We start from the raw sequence: 15,884 nt of genomic DNA, 5'->3' as shown, positions 1-15,884 counted from the left end.
AGAAGGGGAAACTGATTTGATGAATGTCACATAGGGCCAGAGGTGGCAATGAAACCTGACCCTTGTCCCCAGGCTCTAACCACCCAGCTGTGGCCCATGGCTGCCAACAGAAATTCCAGACCTTCATCCCACCCTGGGAATGCCACTGCTAGAGTGGTCACATTTGGTTCCAAATGGCCTGGATCTGGGGCTGTGGCTGTTTTATATGCAGTTTTAGGAAGAATGGCACAGATGAGAGACTTTAAGTTCACTCAAAACAACCTTGAAAATGACAGAAGAATTCCATCCAGGCTGCAAGGGTAAAAGGCACCCCACACTCCCCCAGGCCTCCTCCGAGGAAGACCCCCTCTATTTGAGACAGCCGAAAAACAATGGGGAAGGGAGAATTTTGGACATGGACTGGTTGTAACTTAAGGTGGGGAAAGAGGAGGGGGTGGTGGCACATTTTTGGCTTAAATGTCTAGGTGGCCTTGGAGTCCATTAATAATGTCCTGTTCTAACCGATTTCAGCAGGTTTGGGGACTGCAGCTGCTCTAGTAGGTATCAGTGGAACTAGAAACGGAGCTGTGTGGATGGGCTGCTGATTGTCCCCCAAGGGAGGCAGCTATGCTTCTGTGAGACAGATCAGAAAGTCAAGAGAGACAAAACCGGGTGACTAGAGACAAAAGGACGCTTTGACAACTGCTCCCAGCTTCCTTCAAAGGAGGGCTTTGCCAAGCTGCTTAGTCAGAACCCAAGCTATTGACTGGGTGTGGCCACAGGCTTAGCCGGCACCAACTCAGGTTCGTGGCTTCTTGCTGACCCAGGAAGGGTGTGAGCCCTGGGTCCTGAGGTCATCTCTCCTCTGCTCCTCTCCTCTCATCCCTTCTGGTTCCATGGCCTGGGAGGATATGTGGGCTCAGAACCTCTCGTGGGGTTTCTCTGTGTCCTCCAGGCCCACCTGGATGTGCTGATGCCACAGGTAGATCTAGGGAGTGAAAGACCCTGCTGAGGACCTCAAGCCGCTGGTCCATGTTCCCGTCAGCTAGCAGCACGCGGGGCCAGGGCCGTGGGCATTCACACAGCACGGGTGCTCATGAGCCTGGGCTCTGATTTCTGTTCTGCTGCCGCTCCCTCTGGAACCCCACTGGAAGAGTGGTGGTATGGGGGCAGGATGCAGGCATTCCTGGGTCCCTGGCAGAAATAATCTCTAGCAGCACCAAAACCTCACTCTTAACCTAGAATGGTTATTAACATATTAATTAATATTTAAAAACTCATTACGCCTTGATGATGGCTTCCTTAATCTGCTTTTATATTAATTGCAGCCACCCAGGAGCCATAACCATACTTATGTGGCAAAATGGAGTCATTCTACTTAATTACTGAGGCAGTTTTACAGGCAGTCTTCAAAGCGCACAAACAATCAGAGACTTGATGTGATGTCTTCTTTTTAGATTTTCTTTTACACTGGATGCTGTGATGGTTGGAAATTTTTTCTTATATTGGACTAAAATATTCTGATCGACACCCCTGCTGCCCTCTCCATTATAACACCCTGGAGCACCTGGTCTCTCCAGATGCTGGCCCCTAGGAGAGCCTGTCCTGAGGCTGTGGACCTTGGAGGGTGAGGAAGCTCTAACACTCACTGAGCCCCTTGGGGCTGCCACCCCCAGACAATACCACAGTCCTGGGAAACCCTCTCCTACTCCTTTTGGCAGGTTCTGCTTTTGAGTTCAGGGCTGAAACCCTAGAGCTCTGTCCATGGTAGCATCAGTCTTCAAGGCACACTGTGCCTTCAATGTTTTCATTTACCTGGGGGGTCATCCTGCTAGGCTCTGGCCACAGCATCTCTCCTCCCGGGCACCTGCTGGCTTATTTCTAAACTCCTTTTCCCCCAAACCACTGCCTGGCTTTAAAATGGGTCACACAGCCACCACCCACCAGCTTTGCCCACTGCCCAGGGGATGCTTTGACGGCAGTAGAGGCAGCTCGTGCTTATTTGTTGGGACAGTTGCAATGGGGAAGGTGATGGGACAGAGGCCACGTCAGGCCCTGCTGGTATTTCTCCTGCTGGTATGGGAAGATCTCAGTCCTCCGACCGTGAGCGCCGCTGAGGATTTTAGGGTTTCTCTCATTTTCCAGCGGGGCTGAAGGCACGGCCCCTGGGCGGGGAGCCCTCATGGTGTGTGCCTAACCTTCTTCCATCAGCTCCAAGGGGATGGAGGAGCTCGTGGTGGTATCCAGGTCTCAGGTGAGCCAGGAGTGCGAGGCCGAGGTGGAATGGACCAGGCATGGCATCTGTCTTTTAGGACAGCAGCAGAACATATAAGCGCTGAAGCGTGCACCTGTCCACCTCCGGACGACGCTCCCACACCCAGCATCCCTGCTGGGGCCTGCCCCGAGAAGGCCTGCCAGAGCAGGGAACAGAGTCAAATGGTGTCGAGAGATGGAATCAGCCTCTTGTGCTTTAGAAATTATGGTGAAGTGACAGGCAGGGAAATTGGTGACTCCCTCCTGTGGTGCTGATAACACCAGAGCTCATCCATCACCCGTGCAGGGACGGCCAGAACCATGCAGAGCCCCGGCTGCCCTAAGGGGTCCCCTGTGGCCCTCATGGTGGGGCGGGCAGAGGCTGATGGCCACCGGGTCCTGATGAAGCCACAGCCCTGGACACGTGTATGCCACAGTAAGTGTGGACTGGGGTCAGGACCCAGCTCGCAGGGTGGGGAGACATTAAAAGTAGAGGTAGGGGTGGGTAAGGTTTATGGTTTGGTTTGAGGCCAGTCAGAGTGGGTTTTTGGGTAAGGCCAGATTCAGGTCAGGGGTCAAATAAGGCTTCCAGCTGGATTTAGTAGAATTGTCAGGACTAGGGAATAGAATTGGCGTTTGGTTTCGGGGGGAGGTGTTTTGTTGGAGGTTATGGGTGTGTCAGGATGCTGGGGCTCTTCATTTAAGGGGTAGTTAGTTGTCCTATCTGGGGACCCCAGGAGAGGAGGACAGGACCAGGCAAGCCATCCCCAGGGCCAGCTTCTGCTCAGGGAACACCTGGGGTTTCCTCCCCTTGTTTCCAACCTGGAGTTCTGAGCTTTCTTATCCCTGTCATTGTTCCAGGGCCCTCTTCTATCCCAACCGTTTTCTGCAGCAAGGTATGCTGGGGGCTGGTGACTCTGCGGAAGGGCTTGAAACTGAAGGTCCCAGTCACTTCCGTGGCTACAGGGTGGACAGCATGTGCCATTTCTAAAGGACAGTAATTCTCCAGCTTCCCTTGTCTCTTCCCCTCTCTGCCTGCAGGCACATACCAGCCCACACCTGCCACTTAGCTGCAAACACTGTCCCTCATTCTGGTGCAGGTTCCTCTGTGATGGGCTGGCCACTCCTGTCCTTCCTTTCCCCTTCCTGACCCCCACTTTCCTGCCTATCCCTCTCTCCCTGAAGGCCAGAGCCATTTTCAGAGCCTTCTAGTGCAAGATGAGGGTGGCTGGCACCAGAAGAGTGGCATGGGGGAGACCAAAGTCCCTGCACGGGAAGGTGAGATGTGAGCTGTCACCCCCTGAGCTTCCCTGTTGTGTGCCCCAGAGGGTGTGTGTCAGTGTGGGGCAGGGCGGGGGCATCCGATGCTTCTCAGCTGGCTTAGCTCAGCCTGTTCCTAGCCTCATTTGTTGGCTGGGGTCTGCCTCTCCACCTCGGGTGCACTTTGAGCTCTTTCTATGTTGCTCTCCCCTCAATTTCTCCATAAAGGCTCTTGCTCTGCCCTTGCGCTAACTGCCTGGCCTCCTGCTCTGGGAGTCTGGGCCCTGCTCCTGCCCCTGCATCCCAGCGTGGGTGTAGAAGGCACAGGCTGCAGAGTCCCACAGTCCTGGATCCAAATCGTCTGCCACCACAGAGCCACCGATGGCCCTCAGAAGTGAGTCACATGGCTGTTCTAAACTTCAGTTTCCTTATCTATAAAATGGAGATACTCATGTGTTCCATCGAGCAATGCCACTTTTAGGATTAAGTGAGATGAGGCATATGAAGTGCAACGCACACAGCAGGCTCTCCAGAAACAGCTGATCCTCTTGGCCTAACCTGTGCATGATCGCAGCTCTGTGGGGCCTTGGTTGTCTCAGGGCAGAGCCCTCTGAAACAGATCCTGAGATGAGGACGCACATGATTTATGAAGGAGGGTTTCCCAGGAGAAATCTATAAGGAGTGGGTGAAGGACAGAGAAGGGGAAGAAGCCAAGCTGGTGTGGGGTGGGAGGAGTGTGGTGGAGGGAAGACTCCAGACAGTTTCAGTCCCCTCGAGGGTAGCATCAGTCTCATCCTGCATGGGGAGCTCTGGGACATGATCATGCTTCCTAATTGTCCCGACTGGGGGCAAGGGAGCTGGGCTTTCACACTCCAGCCCTTGGTCATTGGCCAAGGCCACCCCAGGGATGTCAACTCCAGACAACTGGCTCAGCAGTTCCAGAGAAGTCATCCAGAGAATTGAATGTGAGGTGGTCAGAGGCACATTCACCTCAAAGGTGGGGAGGAGCTCACAGAAATGGTAAAGGGGACATGAGGGTACTGGGGCAGAGGACTCCCAGAGCCCCTGTGATGATTCTGAGCGTGGGCCCTGCATGTGAGGCCTGGGATGACTGAGAGGCAGCCAGCCAGAGATGAAGCAGGAACGAACTAACTCTATACTAGGCAGGCCTGGGTACTGGGATAAAAGGCTTCAGGGCACAAAGGGTTCTCCAGGAAGGGAAAAAATGGGAAAATAACAATAATCATAGTAGCTAACACTTGCATGGCACTTATATGATATCAGACACTGCTTCAAGGGTTTTATTTAATACAACAGTCCTAAGAGAAAGAGGCTATTACTGCCCCCAGTTTACAGGTGAAGCAATGGAGTCTTGGCAAAGTCAACCAACATGTCTAAGGTCACACAGCTAGAAGTGGAAATGACCCGTGGGATCAGCCAGAGAACAGAGGGAGCTGGCGGTGGGAGGCAGCTCTGGAGAGCTCCTCTGCAGAGAAAGGGTGCTCCACAGCTGGGCACGGAGCCAGCCTGGACTGAGGCTCCATCAGTGGAAGCTCTAGATGCTGGGTTAGGTGACTTACTCAAGGTCAGACACCTGGTACAATTCAAACCAAAGTTGAAGAAATGATATTTTAAAAATAATGTCATGTGATTTTTTTTTTCCAGTTTCTTAAGTGCTCTCCAACCCTTTTCACTCAGCCAGAGGCACCACTGTTTCAGGGATGCTCAGGGTTATTGAAGCAGGAAGGCAAAGAGAGGCAGACTCAACGTGCAGACTTCCAAAACAGGGCTGTGTCCACAGTGGAACAGACACATCAAGAATCAGGCTTAGTGGAGACAGAGAAGGTTTTCTAAGTTCCTAAAGCTCCTTTTACACAACTGAGTCAAGCCTGGTGGACTTAGAGTTTTACTGTAAGCCCCAGCATAAGGAGAATGGAGGATGAGATGGTTTGGCTCTATCCCCACCCAAATCTCATCTTGAATTGTAGTTCCCATAATCCCCACGTATCATGGGAGGTATCTGATGGGAGGTAATAAAATCATGGGGGCAGTTACCCTCATGCTGCTGTTCTCCTGATAGTGAGTGAGTTCTCACGAGATCCTGATGGTTTTATAAGGGGCTTCCCCTTTCGCTTGGCTCTCATTCTTCTCTCTCCTGCCACCTTGTGAAGAAGGACATGTTTGCTTCCCCTTCCGCCAAGATTGTAAGTCTCCTGAGGTGTCTGCAGCCCTGCAGAACTGTGAGTCAATTAAGCCTCTTTCCTTTATAAATTACCCAGTCTCAGGTATGTCTTTATTAGCAGCATGAGAATGGACTAATACAGAGGATACAACACAGGGGAAGTTCCCCCTTGCAGGAAGAGGAAGTGGAGGGATCTGAGCCACTAAAATGCAGCAGGAAAAGAGGTGAGGGGTCAGCTGTTGCAGTCCTGGTTGCCCCCTGGTGTTCAAGCACAGGGGAAATAGAGTCAGTCACCCAGATGGGGTTGGGGCCTTCCCAGTGGGAGGCATTGTCTCTTCTCCTCTCAGGGACTAGACCGGGAACAAGACCAGCTCCTTAACAAAGCTCTGGGTCTACAGGTGTTAGGCAGGATGCACCATCCAGGCAGTGGTTTAGAAATGGCAGGGGAAGGTGGGTGAGCCAAGGGGCAGCCTTGCAGGGCCTCTGCCCCTTCCGCCACAGTGGAGAGAAAGCACTTAAATGTTTCTAGACCCTTGAAGGGGTCCTGGGGAGAGAAGAGTGAGGGTGGATTCAGATAGGTCTGGGGTCAGGTCAGATATTAGAGGCTTGTGCTGTTGGTCAGGTATTGCAGTTTCACTCCCCTTCCTGACTCAGGGCAAGACTGAGCTTCTGGCTCAATGGTGGGGCCACATGACTAGTTCTGGCCAGTGTGCTGTGATAAGAAATGGCTTGTGCCATTTCCAGGGCAGAACATTGAACCGCTGATGTGAAACCCTCCATAGCGCTCGTTTCTCTCGGCTGTAGTCACCAGCAATGCTCCAGACAGTGGCTGCTTCCTCAGCCCGGATCCTGGAGTGTTGATAGGGAACAGAGCCCACCACTGACTTGTGATGACATGTAACACAAGCAAGAAATAAACCTTTGTTGCCCATCACTGAGATTTGGGGAGCGTTTGTTATCAATCACAGCATCACCTAGTTTATATGTGGCTGATGCAGACTTCATGACCAGAGGCCAGAACAGGGTTTCAAGGACTCAGCACCTAAGTGGGCACCGGGAGCTGGTCCAGCCACGCTGTCTGAGACCAGTGAAGCCCAAAAGGCAGCAGTAGGCCGGATGTCCTTCCCTTTGCCACCATGAGCAGTGTGAGCTCCCCCCTGCATTCAGCTGCCATTTTAGGAAGTAGGAAGTTGAATGAAGATATATCGAAAGGGGAGAGAAACAGTCCTGATAGAGAGTTTGAATTTTGAAAGACTGAGTATTCATGCAAAAGATGTTGAGTTAACCTGAAAGAGACTGTTTTAAGCTGGAAAAGGCTGAGCTATCTTTAATTAGTAAGCTAAAGTATTTCCCCTACTCCCTTCCCAGTCATCTGTGGGAATATGAGCTCAAGAGCAAGATGAAATGAATTATAGAAAATAAAGGTCTATGATTTTGCACATCTTGAATGTATAAAATCTTACACTTTTGTGCCTGCCAAACTCAATTCTCTCTGACTCCAGAGCTCGGGCCTTCCTGTACCTTACTGTCTCCAGATAGCTCGTGTTCCCCAAAATGCTGCCCACGTGGAAGAAGGGGCTACAAGAGGCCATGTGCCTGGCTTGAGTTACGGCAGCAAGAAAATGAGAGTAGGGGTCGGGGTGGGAAGACACGAGGAGGCCGCCTCATGTAGCTGGTAAGTGCTTTGTCTTAGAAATAAAGAGACCAGGGCAAGATGAGGCTGTCGCCAGAATGACAGAGCCAGCCAGTGTCATGCGGGAGCCTCAGGTGGAAGCCGGGCCTTTCCTCACAGATATCCTGCCCCACCTTTCTCTTGGGCTCTATCTCAGAGCACCATGCCACCATCTGCCACCGGTGCCCATGCCAGAAACCCGGGACACCCTGACTGTTCCTCTTACCACCCTCACATTCAGCCCCCAAGTCCTCTGGCCTTGCCCATGTCCTGGGCCCTCCAGGCTCCCCCGAAGCCCCACCCTGCCCTGTACCCTGGGAGGCTGACCGCAGGGACTGCCTTCACACCATTATTGCTGCTCTCCTCCCACCTCTCCCACCCCGCAGGGTCACCTGGGGCTCACGGTGCCCCGTAACTAAAGGGCAACACCTCCTGTGTGGCACGACCTGGCTCCTCTCCCTGGATTCCAGTGGCTTCTCCCCTGCCACACATAACTCCTTTTTGGCCTCGCAGTGGTAATGACTCCCCACTGTTCCTAGCTCCAGGGCACGACACCACTCTTGATAGTTCTTCTCAAGCCTGGTCACACCTGCGAGAATTGTCCATTGATAAAACTCTTCTCATGGCACTCAGTTTGAGGGTGCCATCTGTTTTCTGCCAGGATGTGGCTGATAGAACCTCCCTTGAAGGATTTCTGTAGGGACTAGAGATGACGCACATAAAGCAAAAAGACCAACCACCTAGTGCACGGTTGCCACTCGGTACGTGGAAGCTGTAATTGTTTCCTCCTAAATCTGGCTTGAAGCAACATTTCTCCCCATCCACGCTGCTGCTTTCTTAAGAGCGGTCTCTACCATCTTTCTCTCGTTGATTTTCATTGCCCTCCTTGGTCTCTGCCTCCACCCTCACCCCTGTCCTCTTCGGTCAGAATGATCCCACTGAAGCCCATGGCTCACCATGCTACTCCCCTGTGGGGAACCCTTCAGCATCTTGATGGAGTTCAAACTCCTCAGCCTGGCCCTCAAGGCTCTCCCTGACTCTCTCTGCCTGTCCCCCACACAGGTAAAGAGCCTTGCTCAACCACTCCCAGGGAGGAGCCACGTTCCCCTACTCCCTGGCTTGCTGGCACACCCAAACCGCATGCTATGAATGGGTCTTCCTGCCTGTCTCCTTCATTACACCGTTAGCTCCGTGAAGATCCGTGTGCTTTCAGCATTTTCCCCGGCATCCTGCCTAGGCCTTGGCCCACAGCAAGTGCTTAATACGTATTCGTGGAAGGAAGGAAGGGAGACGAGGGTTTAATGGCATCTTCCCTGTGCCAGGCTCTAGTTACATTTTCTTCTGTTTGCCTAAGAGAGCCTGGCCTTTAATAGTGCTAATATAGACACAGTGGTTTTACGACTAATATTAGCCAGGACTTTCTAAGTGATGTTAAGATTAGAAGTCTGGGGTTGTCAATAGTTGGACTGTGAACTCCAGCAGGACAGTAGATTTTAACTCGGACTCTGCGGGGCCTCTCAGGTGAAGCTCTGGAGATGCTTAGAGCCTTGGGGATCCAACTTCATTCTTCTCTGGGGCCAAGCATAGAGGGAAGGTGCGAGTGGGGAAGTGGAGAGATTTGGAAGGGGAAGAACTGTCCTGGGGTAAGTCACTGGACCAGCCTTTCTGCTGGGGACGTTGAGCTGATTTGGAAACTGTCAGGTCCAACCTTGGGGTCTTTGCCAGGCAGGGGAGAGGCAGCTCTAGAGGCACATGGGAAGTGCCCTGAGAAGACCAGGGACTGGGAGGGAGGCAAGGAGGCTGGAGATGGTGCCTGGCAGGGTCTGCACCGCACAGGATGCTGAGCGAGGAAGCACAGCCCTGGGCTCCAGGAGCGGAGCCTCCCCACCTCCAGGGTCATCAGCCAACCGTGGGATTTGAGCCCATCTCAGGCAAAGGGGTGTGCAGTAATGTAGACCTAGGCCCAAGTACTTTCCACACCCTAGAAGGAAATATAGCTTCTAACTGACACCTAAACCTATGGATATAAAATAATGGTCATTTTATACCCATCGCAGGAGAAAATAACCTTGGAACCAGGCTGTCTGCGTTTGAATATCAGCTCCACTCCTTGCTAGCTGTGTGACCTTCAGCACATTACTTAACCTCTCTGTGCTCAGTCCTCTAAACTGTAAAACAAGGATGATATAGTAACTACCTCATACAATTGTAAGGATGAAAGGAGTTAATGGTAAAGCTCTTGGACTAATATTGGCACCTAGTATGTGCTATAGAAGTGTTTGCTGTTATTTTTATTTTTATTTTATTGGAGACAGGCTCACGCTCTGTCACCCAGGTTGGAGTGCAGTGGTGTAATCATAGCTCACTGCAGCCTCAAACTCCTGGGCTAAAGTGATCCTCCTGGCTCAGCCTCCTGAGTAGCTAGAACTACAGGTGTGCACCATGCCCAGCTAACTGGGGTGTGTGTGTGTGTGTGTGTGTGTGTGTGTGTTTTGTTTGTTTTAGAGATGGGGTTCTCCCTGTGTCGCCCAGGCTGGTCTTGAACTCCTGACCTCACTCGATTCTCTCACCTTGGCCTCCCAGAGTGTTGGTATTCTAGGCGAGAGTCACTGCGTCCAGCCCTATTATTTTTATATTATTTCCTGGGAGCTCGACAGAGCAAGAAAAAGGACCAGAGCGGACTGCTGGAAGAAGGAGCCGTGGACTGGGGCTCTGAAGGACTCACATGAGTTCCTGTGGAGGAGTGGAAGGGCAGTCAAAGCTAAGCTGGTGATTAGATTCCCTTGGGGGGAATGGGAGCTATGTGAGGTGAAGGAGACTAGGGAGGCTGGCAGCGGGTGAGGGGTGAGAGCTGAGGCCAGGATGAGGGGCTGGGGCACTGCCCTCGAGGGCTAAGGAGCCACCAGAGGGTCAAGGCATGGTGAGAACTGTGTTCTGGAACAATCAGTCTGGGGCAGTGGAGAGGAGTGGAGATTGGAGAGGGGGTGCTGGGGAAGGGGAGAGGGAGAGGCCAGCTATGAGACTCGCCCCAGCCTTGATGAGGGCAGGAGCCCAGGAGTGAGGCGCGAATGCATCTCTGCAGCTGCCATGGTGAGAGTGCCTTGCGGGCACCCAGTCCCCACCCTTTCCCTGTTCTTTCTGCCCGAGTGTGCGGGGGATTTCCAGCAGTACTTTATGTGGTCTGGTGCTCACAGGGACAGCTGACTGAGCCACAGCCCTGCCAGGCTTTCACTGCCACGGCCACCGCCACAGTCACCTCAGAACTCATCGTGCCAGGAATTTGCTGCTGTCCCCACTGCCAGTCATATGGCAAGGGAGACCCTTCCCCACCATCTTTGGCCCTCCCTCACAAAGCGAGCGGTGCTCCTTTCCAGTTAGAGCACCCACAGTTGGGTGACAGGTTTCAAGGTGTATGTGTTGTGACTCAGTCTGTGATGGCTTCCTGCCCCAGGGCACAGCACACACTGCTGCCAGAGTGGCCAGACAGGCGCTGCCCCCTCATGCTCATTGGCCATGACCCACGCTCCCACTGGGGCTCTGTCCCGGCTGGATTTGCCCTCTGGGCCATGAGGAGAGTACTTCCATCTGTGTCAGGGCCCTGGAGCCCTATAGGAAACGATCGTATGTGGTTTAAGTTCAAGTCCTTCTCCCAGCGGACTTCTTAAGTCTTATGTAAATCAGTGGATGCAAATGCCTGCCTGGGGATGAGCCTCAGTGCCCCCACCAAAAGCATCAGAGCCAGCTTATGCCCCTGCCTCCCTGGCTCATCGCACTTTCCCTGACACACACCTTTATTGCTCCTTTGATCCTGCAGTGGCCATGCTCCTTTTGCTCTTTGGTCTGGCACAAGGAAAGCCAGGTCTTAATAATAACCGTAATGATATTTATCAATTACAGTATGCCAGGCCTATTCTATCCATTAGAAGAAGGATGCTTACTAGCTGTGTGACCTTGGGCAAGTCACTGAGCCTCTCTGTGTCTTATGTTCCTCATCAGTTAAACAAGGAAATAATACCTACCTCATAAGCATGTCATGCAGATTAAATGAATGAGTGGATGTAAAGTGTTTAGAATAGTGGTTGATACGTAGCAAGTGTGGGGCACCAGCCCCGAGGCATGAAAATAAAGAAAAATCTTGAGTTCCTTCAAGGGGACCTAGCTAGCATTGAGAAGTCAATGAACAACCTGCTAAGCAAGAAGCTAACAGTAGCTTAAAACAATCACCAAGGAAGACAGAGTCACAAAATGATGGTTCCTCTAGAAACTAAAGATGACATCTTACCATATGTCTCTGAGTTGTTTTTCAGAAACCCAGACTCCGACTAAATGAGAAAGGCCAACTGCTGGCACATAGACCTCACATAAGGAGGAATTGAGGGCTGAACTCTGAGCACCATTCTTTGTTCTAAAGTTCTTCCTGAAGGTCCTGGAGGAAGTCACGCCCACAGGCCAGAGCTCAACATTCTTTTCTGCTGACCCCCAGAGTTTTAGCTGCTTAGCCAATCACAAATGAGAATATCTTTGAATCCACCTCCCCTTCCTCCCCACCTGCAAGGTGTCCAGCCTTTTTAGGTCAAACCGATGAATCGCCTCCGTGGACTGACTGATGACTTTGCTTGTAAAGTCATATACCTGCCTCCCCACCTTTAAAAGCCCTTTTCTGTGAGCCATCAGGTCTTAAGCATGAGCTGCCCCATTCTCCTTGCTTGGCATCCTGCAATAAATGCCTCACTTTCTCACGCTGCAAATCCTGATGTCAGTGTTTGGCTTTGCTGTGCCTGGCAGGTGGGCCCAAGTTTGGTTTGATAACAAGCACTCAAGAAATGTAAACTCTCATGATCACAACAATTTAGCAATTTACACTCTATTTATCATTCCATTTTCCAGGCAAGGAAACAATCTCTGAGAGGTGGTGTGTCTTTTGAAAGTCACTCAGTTCATTAAAGGAAGGGGAGGGGTTACATTTGGGTCTGACTTCATGACATGCTCTCCTAACCTCCAGCTTCTAAACTGCTTCCCCACAAAGTCCTCCCAGGACATGGACTCCTTGGCTCTGGTATTCTCTGGGGCAGGCTAAATGCCCCGTTTTTCCAGCTGCTGCCCTAGGCTTGTTTCTAGGTAGGAGTAAAACTTTGAGGGCATATTGCCAACACGCTTCCTTTCCTATTAAGCAAAGAAGCCACAGTCATTGAAATCCTGAAGGAAGCCACTGAGTGGGGAAGATGATCTGGAAGCCCAGGGGCGGGAGCAAAGAAGAGGGTTTCAGGGAGTCAATGAGAGTGGTGTGGTGCTGGCTCCCTTAGGTTGTCCGGAAGCTGCTGGGATGGGGTGAGGGCAGTAGAAGGCCCAGGAATTAGAACCCAACGGAGGCAGCCTCCCTGCTTTGTGGGGTCGCTGTCCTCTGATAAAGCAGCCTTGTTAGATACAAGGGGCCCAAGCACTGCCACCCCGAAGAGGACCAAAGGCAGGGGTACTTTGCCCTAACTCCTAGGCTGCATGTTGATGCCTAAGAGCAGGGAAACAGGCCCCTCGTGGCTGGGTGCAGTGGCTCACGCCTGTAATCCCAGCACTTTGGAGGCCCGGGCAGGCAGATCACCTGAGGTCATGAGTTCGAGACCAGCCTGGCCAACATGATGAAACCCCGTCTCTACTAAAAATACAGAAATTAGTTGGTGTGGTGGCATGTGCCTGTAGTCCCAGCTATTGGGGAGACTGAGGCAGGAGAATTGCTTGAACCCAGGAGGCGGAGGTTGCAGTGAGCCAACATCACACCACTACACTCCAGCCTGGGCTGCAGAGTGAGACTCTGTCTCAAAAAAACAAACCAAAACAAAACAAAACAAAAGCTAGGCCCCTCAAAGTTTGACCTGGGGCAAGACCCAGCTCTGCGAGCCTGTTTCCTTGGCTGTAGAACAGGGGTGCATAGAGCTCCAGTGCTCTCCAGTGCTCTCTGTGGGCTCACTTGCTGGGCCCTGCTGCATGTGTCATCACTCAGATGGGGATCAGGCTGGTGCTGGAAGGCAGCAGGGACTAGAGACATTGGAGCCCTGGAAGCTGGAGACCAGCTTCTGGTCCTGCTCCTACCTCTGGCCTGCATTGTACCTGGGACAAGTTACTTAGTTTCTCAGAGCTTCCCCAGCTGGAAAAAAAGGGAAGAGGATAATCACAGTTCAAGAGTCCACCTCTAGTGTCTTGCTCAAGGTCTGAAGAAAGGCTGTGTGATGCAATGGAGGAGGGGTTCTCCAGGAGTTCACTTATGTGAACAATATTTATTGAATATCATTTCATGGCAGGCACTGTTGTAGGAACTTGGACACATCGGTGAACAAAACCAAAGGTCCCTGCCTTGGGGACCTTAGGGCAAGGTCTCCCAAGGACCTTAGAGATCACCTAAGGCCAAGCCTGGATTTGGGGGCATTGAGTTGTACTAGACATAGAAGGAAGAACCTTGCCTTTCAAGTTGGAATTTGTAAATCAAGGGAAGCCCCTTCATTCCTTTCCTGAAAAAAGACCCCAGAGTTTATAAATTGTGTTTGCTCAAATAGAAGCAATCAGAGACCAGCCTGTTTCCAGGCTGTTGGAGGTACTCATTTGCATATGGATATGCTGTTTATGAACGCACTCCTATTCATTAAAGCAGGTTCCCCAAGGCCCTCAGCTGCTCAACAAGGTGCTGGTCGCGCGGTGCGCCTTCTGCGCAAAAGACGCTGTGCCCTCGGGTTCTGCACAAGCTCACCAGGGGCAGGGAGAAGGTAGGCGGGTCGGGTCAGGGCCAGGCAGAGCTGGAGAGAGAGGAGGTGAGGACTCACCTGGTGGAGGGGCGTGGTGAGGCGTGGTCAGGGAGGAGATGGGAAAGGAGACCCGGGAAGAGGTTGGGCTTGGAGGCTGTGTCCTGCCCCAGGCGGAGCCGGAGGTGGCTGCGGAAGCTTTAGTCCTCTCCCCGATGTGGCGACCACGGCCAGGTGACAACCTCCCACCCACCCTTGCCCTAGCTCTTGCAGCCCCCGCTGTAGAGAACGTCTGGGCTGGTCCCTGTGGCTGTGCACGGGTCAGCCCAGGAGGCTTCCCCTGGTCACCAGCCGGGCGCCTCTGCCGCCGAGCGCAGGGCCATCCCTGGCCTCTGTGCGCCGCCCTGCACCCTCTAAGCACACATCTTTCTAATGGGATTAGGCTTCACACGGGTCAGGAACAATTTATTATTCTGCTGGCTAGAGCCAAGTTTCCCTTTGAAAAATGGTTACTCCCGGAGTCGGCAATTACTTCAAAATAAATTTACCAAAGACAAAATTGTGCCTCTTGGGTCAGTAAACGACTTGCCTGTTTGGGGCTGAGGAGACAAGGTGTTTATTAAGGACCGCCTTCGTTTCCTGTGCAGGTTTTTCAGTTTGAATAATTGTCCAATTAAATATAATTTGGAAGTCGGTGCTAACCCCGTGCCTGGATTGCAGGAGGAAGAATCACTCGGAGGCGTGCATTAATAAATCCCTCGGAGCCCCATCGCTCCCCAAACCCCTCCTTTGGTTTAATTTTGAGGAATTTTTTTTGTCTTCCCACAGCCTATAGCCTTCCCTTTGGAAATGAGCCACTTTCCCCCAAAGAATTCCTGGGCCTTGCTTGCTTCCATCTGTCTGTCTGCTTCTCTCTAGCAAGCCGATGCATGGGGATTTTCAGCTGTGACCAGCAAAGTGATGCCGGGGCCTAAGGTCCATTTCTTTATGGGCCTGCACACTTGCAGGTTCATTCATTCAGTCAGTCAGTCAGTCGGTCAGTCATTCAACAAACACCCACTAAGAACTTACTTGGAGCCAGGCCCTGGGCTGTATGAGGACAAAAATCAGAGATTGTCCTGGCCCTCAAAGATGATTTGGCCCATTGAGAGAGAGAGGGACACATGAGAAGGCCATTGACTGTCAGACTGACAGAAGAAGGGGTCTTCTGGTTCTCTGGGTCACCTTTTCCACGTTGCAGATGGGGAAACTGAGGTGAGGAGATGGAAAAAGCCACCCAGGGAGTAACTGGGGAGTCAGGTATCCTTTGGCCAACCAGGGTGGTTTCTACAATAATTATTATACCCACCACCTGGCCTAGGGTATAGTAAGGGAGGTGCGTGGCAGCCCTGGGGTCCCCAGAGGTGGTTCCACCCTCTGGGAGTGGCTTGTGGGAGGCAGCTGAAGGCCCAGAGCATTGATGTGGCACCGTCCTGGCCGGCTGGGTCTGGTGGGGTGAAACACCCTCACAAGGGGCCTGTTCCTGATAACTGATAGGATCAGAGACATCGTCCTGGACATAGAAGCCATCTGTTCTGAGGCCAAAGCTAGGGCAGTCAGTGCCCAGGCCAAACCTCCGGCCCGGGGAATGTCTGGATCCTTTTTCTGGGAGCCTGCAGTGATCTGGAGCAGAGATGATCCTCCCTGGAGGATCGGGGCTGGGCATCCTGTGTGGCGCCCTCTGGAGGCTGGTGCCTGGATCACAGAAGCCGGTATGCTGGCCTTGGCCAGGCCCTGTGTATGGCCTGTGGTCACACACTGGACAATTTAT

General features: G+C 52.3%; 1 protein-coding gene across 2 annotated transcripts in view, besides 5 other annotated features; it reads left to right on the top strand.

The window, feature by feature from the left end:
* STK33 (serine/threonine kinase 33) overlaps positions 1–15,884 on the top strand; it is a 259,405-nt gene that overhangs the window by 240,193 nt on the left and 3,328 nt on the right. The gene's annotated exons all lie outside the window — the stretch shown is intronic.
* Positions 1,811–2,310: an enhancer, noted in NCBI's record as "H3K4me1 hESC enhancer chr11:8373273-8373772 (GRCh37/hg19 assembly coordinates)". NCBI's record gives its function as "activates a minimal SCP1, AML or CMV promoter by ChIP-STARR-seq in primed H9 embryonic stem cells {active_cell/tissue: H9 hESC(primed)}" and the evidence as "EXISTENCE:reporter gene assay evidence [ECO:0000049][PMID:30033119]".
* Positions 10,313–10,372: an enhancer, noted in NCBI's record as "active region_4383". NCBI's record gives its function as "activates an Ori minimal core promoter by ATAC-STARR-seq in GM12878 lymphoblastoid cells {active_cell/tissue: GM12878}" and the evidence as "EXISTENCE:reporter gene assay evidence [ECO:0000049][PMID:35858748]".
* Positions 10,463–10,512: an enhancer, noted in NCBI's record as "active region_4382". NCBI's record gives its function as "activates an Ori minimal core promoter by ATAC-STARR-seq in GM12878 lymphoblastoid cells {active_cell/tissue: GM12878}" and the evidence as "EXISTENCE:reporter gene assay evidence [ECO:0000049][PMID:35858748]".
* Positions 14,296–14,957: an enhancer, noted in NCBI's record as "H3K4me1 hESC enhancer chr11:8360626-8361287 (GRCh37/hg19 assembly coordinates)". NCBI's record gives its function as "activates a minimal SCP1, AML or CMV promoter by ChIP-STARR-seq in naive H9 embryonic stem cells {active_cell/tissue: H9 hESC(naive)}" and the evidence as "EXISTENCE:reporter gene assay evidence [ECO:0000049][PMID:30033119]".
* Positions 15,057–15,872: an enhancer, noted in NCBI's record as "H3K4me1 hESC enhancer chr11:8359711-8360526 (GRCh37/hg19 assembly coordinates)". NCBI's record gives its function as "activates a minimal SCP1, AML or CMV promoter by ChIP-STARR-seq in primed H9 embryonic stem cells {active_cell/tissue: H9 hESC(primed)}" and the evidence as "EXISTENCE:reporter gene assay evidence [ECO:0000049][PMID:30033119]".

This window comes from Homo sapiens, chromosome 11 (assembly GCF_000001405.40).
Source record: "Homo sapiens chromosome 11, GRCh38.p14 Primary Assembly".
Lineage (NCBI taxonomy): Eukaryota > Metazoa > Chordata > Mammalia > Primates > Hominidae > Homo > Homo sapiens.
Note: the sequence above shows the minus strand (reverse complement) of the source record. Positions and strands in the feature narration are given on the sequence as shown.